We start from the raw sequence: 15981 nt of genomic DNA on the forward strand, positions 1-15981 counted from the left end.
TTCTAGTGAGGACTTGGAGAACTTTTCTGTCTTATAAGAGGTTTGTAAAATGCACCAATCAGTGCTCTGTAAAAATGCACCAATCGGTGCTCTGTAGCTAGCTAGAGGTTTGTAAAATGCACCAATCCGTGCTCTGTAAAAATGCACCAATCAGTGCTATGTAGCTAGCTAGAGGTTTGTAAAATGGACCAATCAGCATTCTGTAAAATGGACCAATCAGCAGGACATGGGTGGGGACAAATAAGGGAATAAAAGCTGGTCACCTCCCCCCTGCCCCCCATCCCCCCCACCCAACCAGCCAGTAGTGGCAACCAGCTCAGGTCTCCTTCCACGCTGTGGAAGCTTCCTTCTTTCACTCTTCCGCTCTTCATGATAAATCTTGCTGCTGCTCACTATTTTTGGGTCTGTGCCACCGTTAAGAGCTGTAACACTCACCGCGAAGGTCCACAGCTTCATTCTTGAAGTCAGCGGCACCACAAACCCACTGGAAGGAAAAAACTCTGGACACATTAGGGCCAAGGAATGAATGGCCCCTGGTCACTCTAGAAAGATTTACCATCCACCAGTCCTTCTGGTGGGGCCCTCTACAGGGTGCTGTGGAGAACACAAAGATGAATGAGAGAAGCATGCGTCTTTCATCTTTTATTAGTAGGACAAAGGACTTAGGTCCGTGGATTCATCCAAGTCTGAAAGGGACAGGAGAGGTCCCCTAATTACCTCTCAGCACCACTGCTATTTCACAGACCAGGAAACCGAGATCCAGAAGACATGATGTGCCCAAGGCCACACAGCAAGGGGATGGCTGGGTCAGGTCTGGCAGGCAGATTTGGGGATACAACCCTAAAAAAGGTGGGAGCTGATGCATGAGAGTGGGGGGCCTGGAGTGTGTGACAATCCAGAAGAGAAGGAAGGAAGGGTACTCCAGGCAGAGCTTGAGGAAAAGCCCCAGAGCAGGGGGCTTGGGAGTGCACAGGATTCACTCTGACTCCCAGCAGGAGGACCCGGAGCAAGGCTGGGAAGGAGGGGTGGACAGAGGTTCTGTTCCAGCCAGGGAGAGTCACCGTAGGAATACAGCAGCCAGAGGCTCAGGGCCCCCAGTGCTGTTAAACTCCAGAGAACATGTTCCTTCTGCAGCCTGCATGGACGCACCTCTGGAGTCTGCACCACACCACTCCCCCTCTGTATAGTTGGCACAGCTGGAGAGGCATGGCCAGAGCTTCACCTTCACTGCTTTTCTTCCTTGAGCCTCTCTGCCTCCTGCCTCTTTCACCCCATAACAGCATCCTTCCCGTGAGGGGAGACTCCCAGGTCTCCTCTGTGACACCCCTATCAATAAGTCCTCCACCTGCATTTCCTCCACGGGGATCTCTGCTAATTTATTTGGGGTGACTCCCATCCTACCTTCACCCCCTTGCCTTGGGACTGTCCCATCAGGCCCCCTGGGGTGGCCTCCCCATCCCTCCAGTTTGCTGGAATCACAGGCAAGGAAAGCCTCATCATGCACTAGCATTTGCAAACTCAGCTCCCAAGCAGCCTGCAGTCGCCAAGGTCTTAGCGGGAAGCGATGGCCCAAGCCCACTAGTATCTGGATAATTTGAGAAGGTCTTGTTACGGGGACTATTTACAAATATGTGCACAAGGTGGGGAGACCTCAAGGGGACATGCAACATCTTGAGGCCAGTGGGAACTCAGCTGTGACCATTGTTAGGTCCAAAAGAAAAAGGGGAGGGAGGGGTTACCACACCCGGTAGAAGAGCCATGGAGAGAGGCTGCCACGGGAGCCGCAAGGACCTCAGTCAAGGGACACAGCCAGCCCATGGCCAACCCACAGGGAGAGAGTTGGAGGGATAAGTACCCAACCTCACCCTCCTTGCTCCAGCCTGGGCTTCCTATTGGCTGAGCCCAGCCAGAGTGGGAAGGTGACGGAGACCTTAGACAGCCCTGAGCACAGAGCAGACAGGGAGGGTGAAGGGTGGATGTGGAGGGGAATGGGAGATCCCCAGCATAGCCACCTACTTCCTTCACCATGGACTGACGCCCATCCTCCCTCCTGTCCTCACGAGTTCTACCAGGCTGTATGCAGCTGATGAATCCTCGTCTCCCAGGTAACACCTCCTTTCCCTCCCCTCCTCGCCACATGACTTAGGAGCCCTCTGTGCTCCTCCTGCAGCTGGTCTGCAGGTGGGAACCATAACCTAAGCCATTATCACCCCCTTGCCCCAACCCCAGGGGAACAGAACCATCTAGCCAGGCTCAGACCAGTCCTCTCATGAAGGAGGGACTCGGGAAGGGGTGGGCATGAGGCCTTCCTCTTCTGGAATGAGCTGCTGCTGTGTAGCCAGTGGGCTGATCCCTGGTCAGCACTTCCCTGGCTCAGGCATGCCTGGAAGGTGCTGGCCCCCATCCAGCTGAGCCACTGGGGCCTGGCCAGATGGCAGGCAGCAATGCCAAAGCTGGCTCTGAGCCACAGGCCTGGCTGTGAAAATTGAGCAACGGGTGGCCCAAGGGAGGCAGATGCCCTCAGCCACCTAGGGCAGAGCCCCAGGTGGCCCAGCCCCATCCTGCTGTGGCTCACCAGACTTAGACTTCAGGTCCACTGAGTCTGGCAGGGGCCCTGGGGCAGCAGCCATGCCCTGGGAAGGCAATGTGGTACAGAGCCAGGGAGGCTGAGAGCTGGGAGCCCGGGCTCGGCTCTGCGCTGCCCCCACACACATGGTCTTTGGAAAATTGCTTCCTCTTCTGAGCAGAACCTTTCTCCCAAATTGAGATCTCCTATAGAACCCCACTATATAAAACTGGTTGAAACAGAAGTGCACCCCACAGCCCCCTCCCTGGGCTCCCCTTCACCACCCCCTCCCTGCACCCAACCTTCAGCACCAGTCCTAAGGCATCTTTTTGGAATCTTGGGTTCCACAGAAAACGGTTTGGACACCATGGTCTGCGTGCTCCCTGAGTGGTCCCAGGCAGCTCCCACAGGCTGTAAGATTTTTAAATGCATATAAAAATAGGCAAAATGTTATAAACTCCCCATGTACCCATCACTTGGATTCCACAATTAACAACTCACAGCCAATCTTATTTCATCAATATCCTCACCTGCTTCCTCCTTTCCCATAGTATTCAGCAAATTCTGGACATCATGTCATTTCATCTATAAATATTTCAGTCTGTATCTCTAAAAGATAATGACTCATTTTAAATATATAACCACAATGTCATCATTACACCTTTAAAAATTAACAACCATTCCTGAAATCATCAAATATCTAAGCAGGGTTCATATTTCCAATTGTCTGTTTATAGGTTTTTGGTTGTTTTTTAAAATCTGTTAAAAGAGTCAGAGTCCAAATGTCCACATAACATATTGCGGCTGGTTGATATGTCTCTTTGGTCTCTCTTTGTCTTGCTCTGGGAGTTAGAAGTGGCCACTGAAGGTCAGGGTGGCCATTTGCATGGGCTTCCTCGGGGGCAGTGAAGACACTCCCAAGAGCCTGGAGGGGAGATTTGTCCTGCCCTGACCCCTTTGTAAGGCCAGAGGGAAAAGGAGAGGAGGGAAGGAGTGAAGGGCTGGGTGAGGCTGCCGCTGCGTCTTCCCACCAGGAGGCTGTAGCTGCCTGACCGGGGTTGGGTGTGGGGCTGTTCCCATCCAGGACTGGGTGGCCTTGAACCCCAGAAAAGGGGGGTGCCTCACTATAGTGAGCAGGACTCAGAAGAGGATGGTGCTCAGAGAGTGCGCTGCCCTGGAGGCAGGAGCCTGGGGCCTAAGCCGCTGGTAAAAATGACCATTAACCAAAAACATTTCGTTTGGCATCTGCTGAGATATGACTTTGCCAGAGGCTGGGACTGCAGTGACGACTGGAAAGCAGTCTCTGCCCTCTGGGAGCTTGACGCACTTGGAATCAGCTAAGCACATACCTTGTGTATTTAACCTCTAGATTTCAATATACCTATCTGTAAAATGGAAAAATAGTACCTCATCTATTAGAGCAGCTGGTTTCTACCAAAGCGCTTTCTAGCTCTAAAGTGGGATTTTATGAAGAGGGAAAAAAGGGACAACCTATACCTATAGTAGAGATGAGGGGAGGGCAGGGTGAGGAACATCCACACTGAAAGCCCAGAGTCTCAAGTCCTGGCTTGCCTGACTACCAGCTGATGCTCCACCATGGCTATCACCCCAGTGCCTTCCCATGGCCCCAGTGCTCCAGAAATGATGGAGTTCAGGAAATGCAGAGTGGTGGACCCTAGCCTCTTCAGACAGGATGGGTCTGGATCACAACCTCACGGAGGAGCCGCATTTCTGCTGTCCATGGTGCCACACTGTTGACAAGGCCAGGATTCCTCAACCTCAGCACATGGGTATTTTGGGCCAGATAATTCTGTGTTGTGAGGGCTGTCTTGTGCACTGCAGGATGTTTAGCTGGACCACAGCCTCTACCCACCAAATGCCAGTAGCACTCCTTCAGCTATGACAACCCAAAATGTCTTTGGATATTGTGAAACGTCCCCCCGGGAGAGAGCCACTGGTCTGGGCTGGAGGGACGCAACTTCTCTGTAAAGATAAGTGGATGTGTGCAGGTCCTGTCCACGCTGATCTTCTGGCTGACATCTATGATGTGTTTTCACTTCCAAGACGCCTTCTCATTCGCCCAACTCTTCTTATTTCAAACCTCACCTTTAAAAAGTGTTTTTTTGTTTTCTCGTTTGTTTGTTTTTTGAGACAGAGTCTTGCTCTGTCACCCAGGCTGGAGTGCAGTGGCACAATCTCAGCTCACTGCAGCCTCCGCCTCCTGGGTTCACGCCATTCTCCTGCCTCAACCTCCCAAGTAGCTGGGACTACAGGCGCCCGCCACCACACCCAGCTAATTTTTTGTATTTTTAGTAGAGACGGGGTTTCACCATGTTAGCCAGGATGGTCTCAATCTCTTGACCTCATGATCCGCCCGCCTTGGCCGCCCAAAGTGCTGGGATTACAGGTATAAGTCACTACACCCAGCCAAAAAGTGTTCTTAAAAAAAAAAAAAAAAAGCAACAAACTTCAATGGCCCTCTTGGCCACACTTAATAAATGCAAAATATGGTAATTGTGCCCAGGGTAAGTTCTCTTGCCCTTGAGTGGTACAGAGTCAGACTTGGAGGGAGGAGGAGGAGCCCTCTGTGGCCCTCACCTGTTGTCACTGCCAACCTCTGTCCCATGGCTTGTCTCCACTCCCCCCTTTAGCCCATCCACTGGGGAAAGCAAAAAGGGAAGACTAACCCCAGAGCATCATTTTCCTGGAGCTGGAGCCTCCTATAGGTGATACCCCAGCTCACCAGAGGGCTAGGCTCAGGTCACCTCTCCATGGTACACTGGAAAATATCTGGAGTGGGAGTTGGGGACGTGAGGTTCCGATCCTGTCTGTGCGGAAGCCAGCTGTGTGACCTTGGGCTCAGAGGTACTGACCTCTGAACTCAGCCTTCTCATCGGTAAAGTGAGGCTGTTAATACCTCCTTCATGGAGTTATTAAAAGAATTAAATGGGAAAATGTTTGTGAAGGAACTACATAGTGCAAATTGCAAGACAAATCTTAATTATTATTATTATCTGTTGTTCTAAGTGAGAGAATGAAGAACATCACACCCCTTATCCAAAGGCCTGGAAAACCCACAGCCCCTCCCCTGCAACCCCCCAGCCTCATCCCATCTCCTGTTCCCAGCCGACCAGCCCCCTCCCCTGCAGCCCCCCAGCGTCATCCCATCTCCTGTTCCCATCAGACCAGCCCCCTCCCCTGCCCTATACTTGTTCCTTGGGCTCTGTCTCTAAGCGACCCTCCCGCCTTGAAAGTCTCCCTCTCTCACATGTCCATACCCACTTCCTTCAATACCCAGCTCCCAACCCACCTCTTCCAGAAAAATCTTTCCTCTGACAAAGGGGGTGAGCTCAAAGCCAGATCACCTCTTTCCCCAACTGAATTACCTATTGTGACCTCCACAACCCCATGCCAAACTAAGCACACTGCCAGGCAGATCTAGGTGAATAGTAACAATGACAATGACGATCATTCATAATATTGAATAATAAAAATAGCAAACATTTGAAGCATTTACTATGTGCTAGGCACTGCGCTAAGCACTTTACGTATTTTAATTCCTCTATCAAATGCCGGTTGGCCACATGGGATTAAACACCTGCCTCTGCCTCCAAACCCCAGCACAAGCATCACCTCCTTGGTAGAGTCTTCCCCATTGGTCTCAGGCAGAATTAATATTCCTGCCTCCACACCCGCAGTGCCTGGTCTATTGTTGACCTAATTTCACTAGCTCTTAATTATTTATCAAAGTGGCTGCTTCCCATTCCAGCCTGTGAACATCTTGAGGGCCAGGACCCTGTTATATTTATCTTTATTAGCCTCAGTGTCCAACAGTGACTGGTACCTAGTTGCTCCTCATTAAATGTTTGTTGAATGAATGCACAGATGAATGGAGTAATTAATACAATATCCCCCAATGTTCATGGGATTTTAAAGAGGCCACTTTCCTAGCCTCATGCTTCACAAACATTCCAGACCAGTGCTACTCCAAGCATGATCTACAGACCGGCACCTGTCTGCAAACTGTGTTGCCAGTTTATGACCTGGTAAGTGCAGAAATTGAGCATAAGCATTTAGACTTTTTTTTTTTTTTTTTTTTTTTTGGAGTGAGAGTTTTGCTCTTGTCACCCAGGCTGGTGTGCAATGGCGTGATCTCAGCGCACTACAACCTACGCCTCCTGGGTTCAAGCGATTCTCCTGCCTCAGCCTCCCAAGTAGCTGGGATTACAGGCATGCGCCACCATGCCCAGCTAATTTTATATTTTTAGTAGAGATGGGGTTTCTCCATGTTGGTCAGGCTGGTCTCGAACTCCCAACCTCAGGTGATCTGCCTGCCTGGGCCTCCCAAAGTGCTGGGATTATAGGCGTGAGCCATGGCACCCGACCCATGGCTCATATTTAATCTCCACAACTATTGCTATCATCCTATTTTTCAGGGGGAACTGAGGCTTATTGAAGTTAAGCAACTCCCCAAGGTCCTAGAGAGCAGTGGTAGGGCAGAGGTGGTGACCCAAGCACTTTGATCCACAGCTCACGCCTCAGCCACATCACTGGCAGAGAGTCAAGGGACTCAACAGAAACATTCATGCTAACTTCTCGGGTTCTGGAAAGCTCTATGCAGGAGGTGATGTTTGTTCTGAGCCTTGAAGAAGGCATAATGGGGAGGGGCATTCCAAGGCAGAGGCACACAGGAGGCAACCGCGTGAGGGGAGTCTGGTGAGGTTGGGCCGGGTGCGGTGGCTGGTTTCAAACTCCTGACTTCAGGTGATCCACCCTTCTCAGCCTCCCAAAGTGCTGGGATTACAGGTGTGAGCCACTGCACCTAGCTACATTTTGACATTTTTAAGCCATTAGACAGAATAGTTTTATGTCCATTTGATGTGCTAGTGTTTAAAACAGGGCTTTCATTTTGTCTTTTTTTCTTTCTTTCTTTCTTTCTTTTTTTCTTTTTTTTTTTGACTGAGTCTCACTCTGTTGCCCAGGCTGGAGTGCTGTGGCAGGATCTGGGTTCACTGCAACCTCCTCCTCCCAGGTTCCAGCGATTCTCCTGCCTCAGCCTCCCAAGTAGCTGGGATTACAGGCTCGTGCCACTATGCCCGGCTAATTTTTGTACTTTTAGTAGGGATAGGGTTTCACCATGTTGGCCAGGCTAGTCTCAAACTCCTGACCTCAAGTGATCCACCTGCCTTGGCCTCCCAAAGTACTGGGATTACAGGCAATGAGCCACCACATCTGGCCTTTTATTGCATTTTTCTAATAATTCATTCCCGCAGTGTTTTGCAATCGCATTGGCCTGTGACAGATTAGAAATTTTAAAATACAGAACCAGTTCTTTGCCACAGTTGTCTGAGAAGTATGGTTCCAGACCAGCAACCTCCCGGGGATGGTTAAGCCAGTGGAACCCCACAGGTAGGAAGTGCCTATTCAGCCCTGCCTCCCTGGGTCTCACCCATCATTACATCAAATCTGTCTCTCCTACTGTTGGGAAGGACATGTGATTGTCTTTTATTCCTGTTTGGAATCCTCACATTTCTCCTGTCTTCCAAATCTGGCAGATTAAATGAATGAAAGCTGATTCTGCTGCTGGCTGGACAGGAAGGGGTGAGAAGGCAAGGGAGGGATGGGATGAGAAGAGAGTTTGGAAAAGGCCATCCTGGGAAAAGAATGCTGGAATGGAGTAGGAGCCTATCCTGAGGAGGGTGTGCAGAGGCTGCTCTGGCTGGGGCTGAGGGAAGGAAGGGTGTAGGAGGGAGGGACAGGGCAGACACTAGCACCTTCACCAAGCCCAGCAGATGAGAGCCAGGCCCTTGAAGGTGAAAGGAAGTAGTTTCAGGACAAATGAAAGGGGATATTGAACCTTTTTACAGAAGGAATGTTAAACGCCAAACTTTCATAACCCCCCTGAGGCTGCCAAGGCCAAAACTATAAATAAGTAGGTCGAGGAATTAGGCAGAAGCCTCCTCCCCTGACCTGTCCGTCAGCGGGATGTGGTGGGGTGGAGGTTAAGTCAGTGAAATCAACACAGACAGGATGAAATGAGCTATCTGTAGACGCCACTTCAGAAAGCGAGAAGGTCTGACTCCTGGGCAAAAAAGTCAGGAAGAGCAAGACTTGATTGCAGTCCAATCAATGGCATTAGCATATTTAAAGATCATGTCAAGGGGAGGATAATGGGGCTCAGAGAGGCAAAATTTGATGGTGTTTATTAAGCAGAGAGAAACACAGAAGCTGGAGCCGTCTAGTCCTTAGAGAGTGTGCTCCAAGGTGGGACCAGGGAGGGAGCAAGGCCTTGGCTGGGCCTGGGCAAAGCTACCAGAGGACCAACCGGCTTCCTCTCCTCTGATTCCACAGCCTACTGCTGCTGGTGAATTTCTGATCAAGAATTCTGCTCCCCACAAAGAACTGCCTAGAGGGTGGGACCAAGCCACCCCTCACACTTGAGCATCCAGTCCACTCCATCGTGATGATGATGATGATCATAGTATTGGTGACTACAGCTAACCCTCATTAAGCTCTCACTATGTGCCAGGCTCCGTTCCAAGCTCTTTACAAATACCAACTCCTTCAAACTCCCCAACCACCCTCAGAAGTAGCGTTTCTACCCCGATTTTATAGATGAGAAAATTGAGGCATTGTTAAATAACTCTCCAAGTTTATACAGCTTGTAAGTGGAAAAGCCAAGATTCAAACTCAGGCCATCTGACTCCAGAACCTGCACATCAGACTGCCCCGCACTTAACTGTTGTTGGTAACAGTTAGTTGTCCATCTGCTTAGCATGTCCATCCCTTCTGGGGTTGGCTGGGGCAAGTCAGGGCCCAACTCGGCACAGCCAGCTCCGGAGCACTAACCTAATGGGGGTTTTGCAAGACTCGGGACTGTGTGCTTCACCTGGAAAGTGCCAGGTGTGTGGATAAGCCATGTGAGCAGCTGGCTTCCTGGGCAATGCCCCTCCCCACTTCAGTGTCCCAGGCCCCTTTAGGGCCCAGCCCTCCAGGCACTGTGAGCTGGGAATGAGGTGAAGGAGGACTAGGCTTACCCTCTGTGTGCCTCCATTTTCTCACCAGTAAACTGTGTGTGTTGGATCTTACGATCTTCTAAAATAACTCCAGCTCCAAATGAAGGCCAGTGGACCCATGAACACGCTGGCTCTTGCCCAGTGTGCTGAGAAGAGGGCAGGAGGGAGGAGTAGGGTGGGCACGGCAGGGCACAGGGTGCAGGGCAGGTGGGTTCAGTTTGATTTCAAAGCCGACTGCCCGCCGCCCCAGGTGCTCTGGTGTACCCAATAGGGGCTGCATTGGCCAGGCGGCCTAGGCTCTGCGGGTGGAGTGAAGATTTCTCTACCTCCCAGTTTCTCCCTTTTCAGCTCTGGTAGGAGAGAGGAAGAGTGAAGAGGAAGTCAAAAGTTCTGTTCATCTGGAAGGGCTGGGAGTTGCTTCCTGGGATGGGGAGCTCCGAAGCCAATTCAGAAGACGGCCCCGGGGTCTGGCGGGGAGGCCCACCGCTGCCCAGAGGGCTCGGCCGGCCGGGAGGGGGCGCTGTGTCCTCCCCACGCCCTGCCCGCGGGCTCCTAGCAGCGTTCGCCGCGCTGCAACGCAATGCGCGCCCGGCTTTCCCCTGGGCAGCGTTCAGTGCCCGCTTGTCCTGCAGGGCACCGCCGTCTCCCTTTCATCCTGGGGCTCCCAGGTCCAAAGGGTTCCCAGATCCAGCCTCTTGCCTGAACCAAAGTGGCCAGGCACTCAGTTTGTAAGATGAACAAATGAAGGAAAGAAGGAACGAATGAATAAGGGCTCATCTTGCAGAGCGTTCGCGTCTCAGCGCGCACCAGGCACATCAGTGCCAAAGGTGCTGGGGGTCGGGCCCAGCGCCCGGCGCGGCTGGAATGGGGGCGGCGAGGAGCTCCTCCTAGCCAGCCGCAGGGCGGGAACTGCCCAAACGCAGGTCGCAGCCTCACTGGGTTCCGCGGCGGCTCCGCTCAGTAGGGACCGCCCTGTTCCCTAGCCCCCAATAGCCTCGCCCTCATAAATTCACCTGAGCACCCTGGCCCAAGTCACCCCAGATCCCTGGGACTTCCCAGGCCCCGACCTCGGCCGGGCGGGAGGCTGATCCTTTACCGCGGCCCCCTTCCCCCATTCCCGGCTTCTCCCCGGGCTGCGGCGGCCGCCACTGCTGCCAGCGCGCCCCGAGGACTGCCGCAAACCCCGGGCGCAGGGAAAGGGGATCCTGGCGGCGGGACACAGAGAGCGGGCCGGGGGAAGGGGAGGGAACGGAGGAGGCGAGGAGGAGCTGGGAGGGAGCCGAGGGGCGAGGCGCGGAGGAGGGACCGAAGGGGAGCGGAGGGGAGAGGGAGGGGGAGGAAGGGGAGGGGACGAGCTGGGCGAGGGGGCGGGGAGCCGAGGCGAGGAGCGGCGCGGACCGTGGGGGAGGTGGCGGGGGCGAGGCCGGCAAGAGGCGGCCGCGGGCCGGGCTGCGTCGGGAAACGGCGGCCAGACTTCCCCGGGAAGGGGCGAGCGAGAGCCGGGCCGGGCCGGGCCGGGCCGCGGGGCCGGGAAGCGCCGAGCCGGGCATCTCCTCACCAGGCAGCGACCGAGGAGCCCGGCCGCCCACCCCGTGCCGCCCGAGCCCGCAGCCGCCCGCCGGTCCCTCTGGGATGTCCGTAGGACCCGGGCATTCAGGACGGTAGCCGAGCGAGCCCGAGGATGGGAGGGCACCCGCAGCTCCGTCTCGTCAAGGTAACAGCCCGCCGGCCATCCCTCGAGCGCTGGCGCCCCCGGCCCCTGGCGGACGCGGGACGGGGCTGGGCTGTGGGTGTGATGGGGGCGGGGGCGCTGGGAGAGCCGTGCTTAGGTCGGGGAAGGCTGGGCTCCGGGGCAGCCTAACTCTCTGGACCTTTGGAGCCAGGGTTGGGTAGGCAGGGGGAGACTCAGGTGAGAAAAGAAATCGTGGCGAAGCCGCCGGGATGTTGGCGGAGGAGGGGGTCCGCCCACCCGGGTAGCCGGCTCCGCGCCAAGAATCGCTCTAGGCTCTCGGGCAGACGCCTAGGGGAGGGGAGGTTCCACCTCCCACGCCCTTCCTGCAGACCTCGGCCCCGGGACTGGAGACTCTGAAGCGGGGTTCCCACCTCGCCCCAGCGCCCCCAAACAGCTCCCCGACTCCGCACGCCCCCGCCCTAGTCTTGGGAGCGCGTCCTGCCCCTTCCCCTCCGCGGCGAGCTGCGAGTCCGGAGAGATGAATGCCGCCCGCGCCTGCGAGCCCTTGATCAATATCGCAGTCTCGGGGGAGGAGACGGTGCCTCTGGCGGCAGTTCCTGTTCCCCGACCGCGGCTGGGAGCGCGACGCTCGTTCTCCGAGCCTGGGCACCCGCGATCCCCGCGCTGCGCGGCCGACCCTGCGACGCGGATCGGGCGCTGGAGTTTAGGAAAGTAGCCAGACCGCACGTCCAGCGTCTGCCCGCTGAAGTTCGTGGGCGGTGGGGGCGGCCCGCGGGTTGTGTGAGCCAGGGAAGGGCCGGGAGGCCGGCAGTCCGGCCCGCCGCTCGTGTCAGGCGTCACTTGCAGCCCCAAGCGCTTTCCAGAGCGTTTTGGTTTTGCAGGGTATAGGCGCGCCCGCTGCAGCCGGCCGGAGAGGCGGGTGGGCCTCTGCGCTGCTGCCGGGACACCCCGCTTCGCGCCAGTCTGGGCATCGCCTCACCCGGGGCTCGGGACTCCGCAGGGTCCGCTCCAGCCACAAACATAGACACCAGCTTGACCCGGCTCAGGGCATTCAGAGCGATTACATTCAAGAGACTTCGGTGGATTTGGGGGAGGGGTGCGGATTGGCGGAATTTCATTTTTCCATCAGTTATTAAACCAACTGTACGTATACCGGCTTACCAAGTGGTTTGAGTTAAACCACCAAGATTTTTAAATGCAGCAGCTGCTGCTTCCTTAGTTGAGACGTTACAAGTTACTGAGATTTTTCTCTAATCCTGCCCCTCCCCAAATATTTATAAATTGATTCTTAAAATGATCAAGGGTTGGTCTTACTGAACCCACATCCCCTCCCCCATCCGTTACCTGAGGGCTAGGGATGAACTCAGATTATTTTCTGGGCGTTCGAGGAGACAGACAGGTGAGGAAGGTAGAAGAAAAACATCCAGAGAGGTCGAGTAGTTGGCACTGAATGGGAATAGTTTCCAAAAGGCTCGCGTGTACCGAAGCCTGGTCTAAATGCACAAACCAGTTAGACCAAATTCAGTCTTTTAAATGGATTCAAAGAACTGAACTGCGGGTGTTTTCTTTTCTTTTTTTTTTTTTCAGGTTTACGCGGAAATAGATCAATGTTCTTTTTCTGGCCTTTCATAGAATTGTGTGCAAATCTCTGTTTAGAATGATCATGTTTTCCTTAAAAAAGTCTTTTTATTTCCTTTGTTCCTACTAGATGGTGGGGTGTTTGCCCTTTATGCCTGGCCTAATAAACTCAGTAGGCATTCAATAAATTCCAGATGAATGTGGGGCAGTGAGTGAATGGCCAGCGAATGCTGGTTTCAAACGTTGGTTACAATTAAATAGTTGCTTTTCTTCTTTTATTTATGTAGCATGTACAATTCACTGGGCATTATTCTACCTGCTTTGCAAATATTAAGTCATTTAGTCCTCCTAACAGCCCTAGGAAGTAGGAATTATTCCTGAGACACAGAGAGGCTAAGTAACTGGTTCAAGGTCACACAGCCAGTGAGTAGTGAAGTCAGAATTCAAACCCAGACACTCTGATAAAAGGCTTTGTTTTGTTTGCTTTTACCAGAAAATATCCTTTTTTTTTTTTTTTTTTTTCAAGACAGGGTCCCACTCTGTCGCCCAGGTTGGAGTGTAATGGTGTGATCATGGCTCACTGAAGCCTCAACCTCCCTAGGCTCTGGTGATCCTCCCACCCCAGCCTCCAGAATAGCTGGGACCACAGGCATGCACCACCACACCCAGCTAATCTTTGTATTTTTTGTAGAGATGGGGTTTCCCCATATTGCCCTGGCTGGTCTCAAACTCCTGGGCTCAAGCGATCAGCCAGCCTCGGCCTCCCAAAGTGCTAGGATTACAGGCATGAGCCACCATGCCCGGCCATTACCAGAAAATATTCGAAGCCACCTAAATCTCACTCTAGAGCTCAGCCAGATGAGAGCTCAGGTAGTTTTGTCAGCATGAGAGTACAAATCTAGGGGATTTAGGGTTAATCCCAAATCCAGCTCCATCCCCAACAAGTCAGCCAGTGTTGGGAAAGGGTCCACTCTGGGGCCTATATTGTGGGCCTCACACTATAACAGTTACAGAGTCCTGGGGGAAAATGTGTGTGAATGGGGAGAGACAGGGTGTGTGAAAGTGTGTGTGTGAGTGGGGAGAGACGATGTGTGTACAAGTGGCCATGAGTCAGGAGAAGACAGACAAGACATTGTCTCTATCCCCAGGGAGGGGCAGGGGCCTGAGCACCTCGGAGTCAGCCACACACCCACTGCATCTCCTCGTAGGGAGATGGAGTGTGGCTGTAAACATGGGTCCCAGTGTCTGTGAGGGGTGCAGAAGGCAAGGCCTCTGGATGGATTCTAACAGGAGAGTGAGCTCCCAGGAGGGAGCTGGCTATTGTTATTCTTATATAAGCCAATTTAGCAGCAATAGGCAAAGTTTGAAAACCAGAATGGAAAATGATTGCAACCTCACTCTTTTAATCTGGCTACTGTATAATTCATTTAAAAAATAACCCCCACAGGTCCCCTTCTCAAGCACCTGTCTGGGCACAGCTGTGGCCATTGGGCAGCCCTCTCCTCAGTGTCACAGCCCAAGTCTGTTTCACGTTACTCCCGAGGCTCTGCAGGAGACTGTCAATGTCTGCATGTTGCCTGTGAGTGAATGGACTTTGCCATCCCTATATCGGTGCATATCTGGGCCATTTCCAAGTTGTTTCTTTGATTAAACGATATAGAGCCAGGTTTTCGAGGGGAGCGTTGGCAAGAGGCATGAGGAACGCGAAACAGTGAGCCCAGGGTGGGCCAGTGGGCTGCTGTGGCGTGCGGGACTGCTGGCCTGGCCACAGACTGGGGGCAAAGACAGGGAGGGGCCAAAAGCCAGGCCAAGCCCCTTGGATTTGAAATGACCAGCCATAGAGAGGAGTGTGTAGATTATGGAAAAGTTGAACACTCACCCAGAGCCAGTGAGGACGAGCTCAAGTGGAAAATCCATTTCTCACCCTCTCTAACATTTGGCTCCTCAAAAGCATCAACCTCCAGGTTCAGCCACACATAAGGAGTTTGGGGGTCAAGGTGCCACCACCCCAAGTGCCCGTGTGGCCTAGAAGGAAGCAGTTAGGTGCCGGGCTGATAATTTCAGCAGCTATTGAAGGGGAAAGACCATCAGCCTGGGAGTCAGTGAACCTGACTCTGATCCCAGCTCTGCCTCCAATCAGCTGTGTGATGACAGGTAGGTCACCTTCCCTCTCTGAGCCACAGTTTATCTGTCTGTAAACAGGGGTATTGGACTGGATTCTCTGTTATCTCTCATGTCTCTGTGAAAGGTCTGTGTTTTCAAATACTCCTTAGGGACATGACCTCACATAGAAAGAGGGGGGTGCCACGAACTGGATTCCCAGCACTCCCCCTTCCCAGCTCTGCTCAAGCTGAGGGACCTTGGAACATGGTACTTGGACCTAAGTACTCTCTCTGGGCTTCAGTGTCCCCAGCTATAAAATGGGGGAAATGCCTAACTCAGGAGGTTGAGGTAAGGACAAAAGGAATTAATACATGGAAAGTGCCTGGAACAGTGCCTGGCACAGTCTGCTTTCAGAAAAAGCTGCAAGGTGGCTACTCTCAGCAGATATAAGTTAATGCAGGAACAGCAACTAGCAGCTCTTGGACATGCAATATATTATATATTTTTTGCATCTTTTACCCTTCACGGCACTGAGCCTCACAATCCGTTGCACAGAGTAGGTGTTTAACAAATGTTTGTCGACTTCATGGATGAGTTTATTGTTGCTTCTTCCATTTGGTATTGTACAATTGGAAAGAACCCGTTTCTGTTCCCACCAGATGCAGATGTCAGGTCGAAACAGAAGGCTGAGAGATGCTTAAACCACCCTAGCAGAAAAGCCATCTCTGATGCAGAAAGGACTAGAACTCCCCCTTAAGCCCACTGTGGTTATTAAAAAAGAGAAAACAACACACAACCAGTGCAGCACCCCAGTGATCTGGAGAATCCCTTGAGGGTAGAGCCTCAGCCAGTGAAACTCCAGCGCTTTTGCCGTGTCTGGAGGAGGGCAGGTCACTAACAGTGATCTGGGCCGTTTCTTCCTCAGTGAAAAGAGGGAGTAGGGTGATCTCTCCCAGCTCTGATTCTACCCTAACTGCTCACGGTATCAACCAAAGAAGGGTGAGCCCATTTTGAACGTAAGGCCA

The 15981-nt window shown here is 53.1% G+C and overlaps 2 protein-coding genes across 8 annotated transcripts in view, besides 1 other annotated feature; both read left to right on the forward strand.

The window, feature by feature from the left end:
* Positions 1-15981, forward strand: part of LINC02210-CRHR1 (LINC02210-CRHR1 readthrough) — a 215483-nt gene that overhangs the window by 152936 nt on the left and 46566 nt on the right. The window lies entirely within an intron of this gene.
* The window catches only part of CRHR1 (corticotropin releasing hormone receptor 1), a 51509-nt gene continuing 46566 nt past the window's right edge, over positions 11039-15981 (forward strand). For all 6 annotated transcript variants that reach the window (NM_001145146.2, NM_004382.5, NM_001145148.2 and 3 more), the window contains exon 1: positions 11039-11296. In NM_001145146.2, coding sequence (NP_001138618.1) covers positions 11264-11296 — 33 coding nt within the window. In that variant the 5' untranslated portion in view covers positions 11039-11263. The remainder of the gene's footprint in view (positions 11297-15981) is intronic.
* Positions 11766-12266: an enhancer, noted in NCBI's record as "H3K4me1 hESC enhancer chr17:43862413-43862913 (GRCh37/hg19 assembly coordinates)". NCBI's record gives its function as "activates a minimal SCP1, AML or CMV promoter by ChIP-STARR-seq in primed H9 embryonic stem cells {active_cell/tissue: H9 hESC(primed)}" and the evidence as "EXISTENCE:reporter gene assay evidence [ECO:0000049][PMID:30033119]".

The sequence above is a fragment of the Homo sapiens genome, chromosome 17, assembly GCF_000001405.40.
Source record: "Homo sapiens chromosome 17, GRCh38.p14 Primary Assembly".
Lineage (NCBI taxonomy): Eukaryota > Metazoa > Chordata > Mammalia > Primates > Hominidae > Homo > Homo sapiens.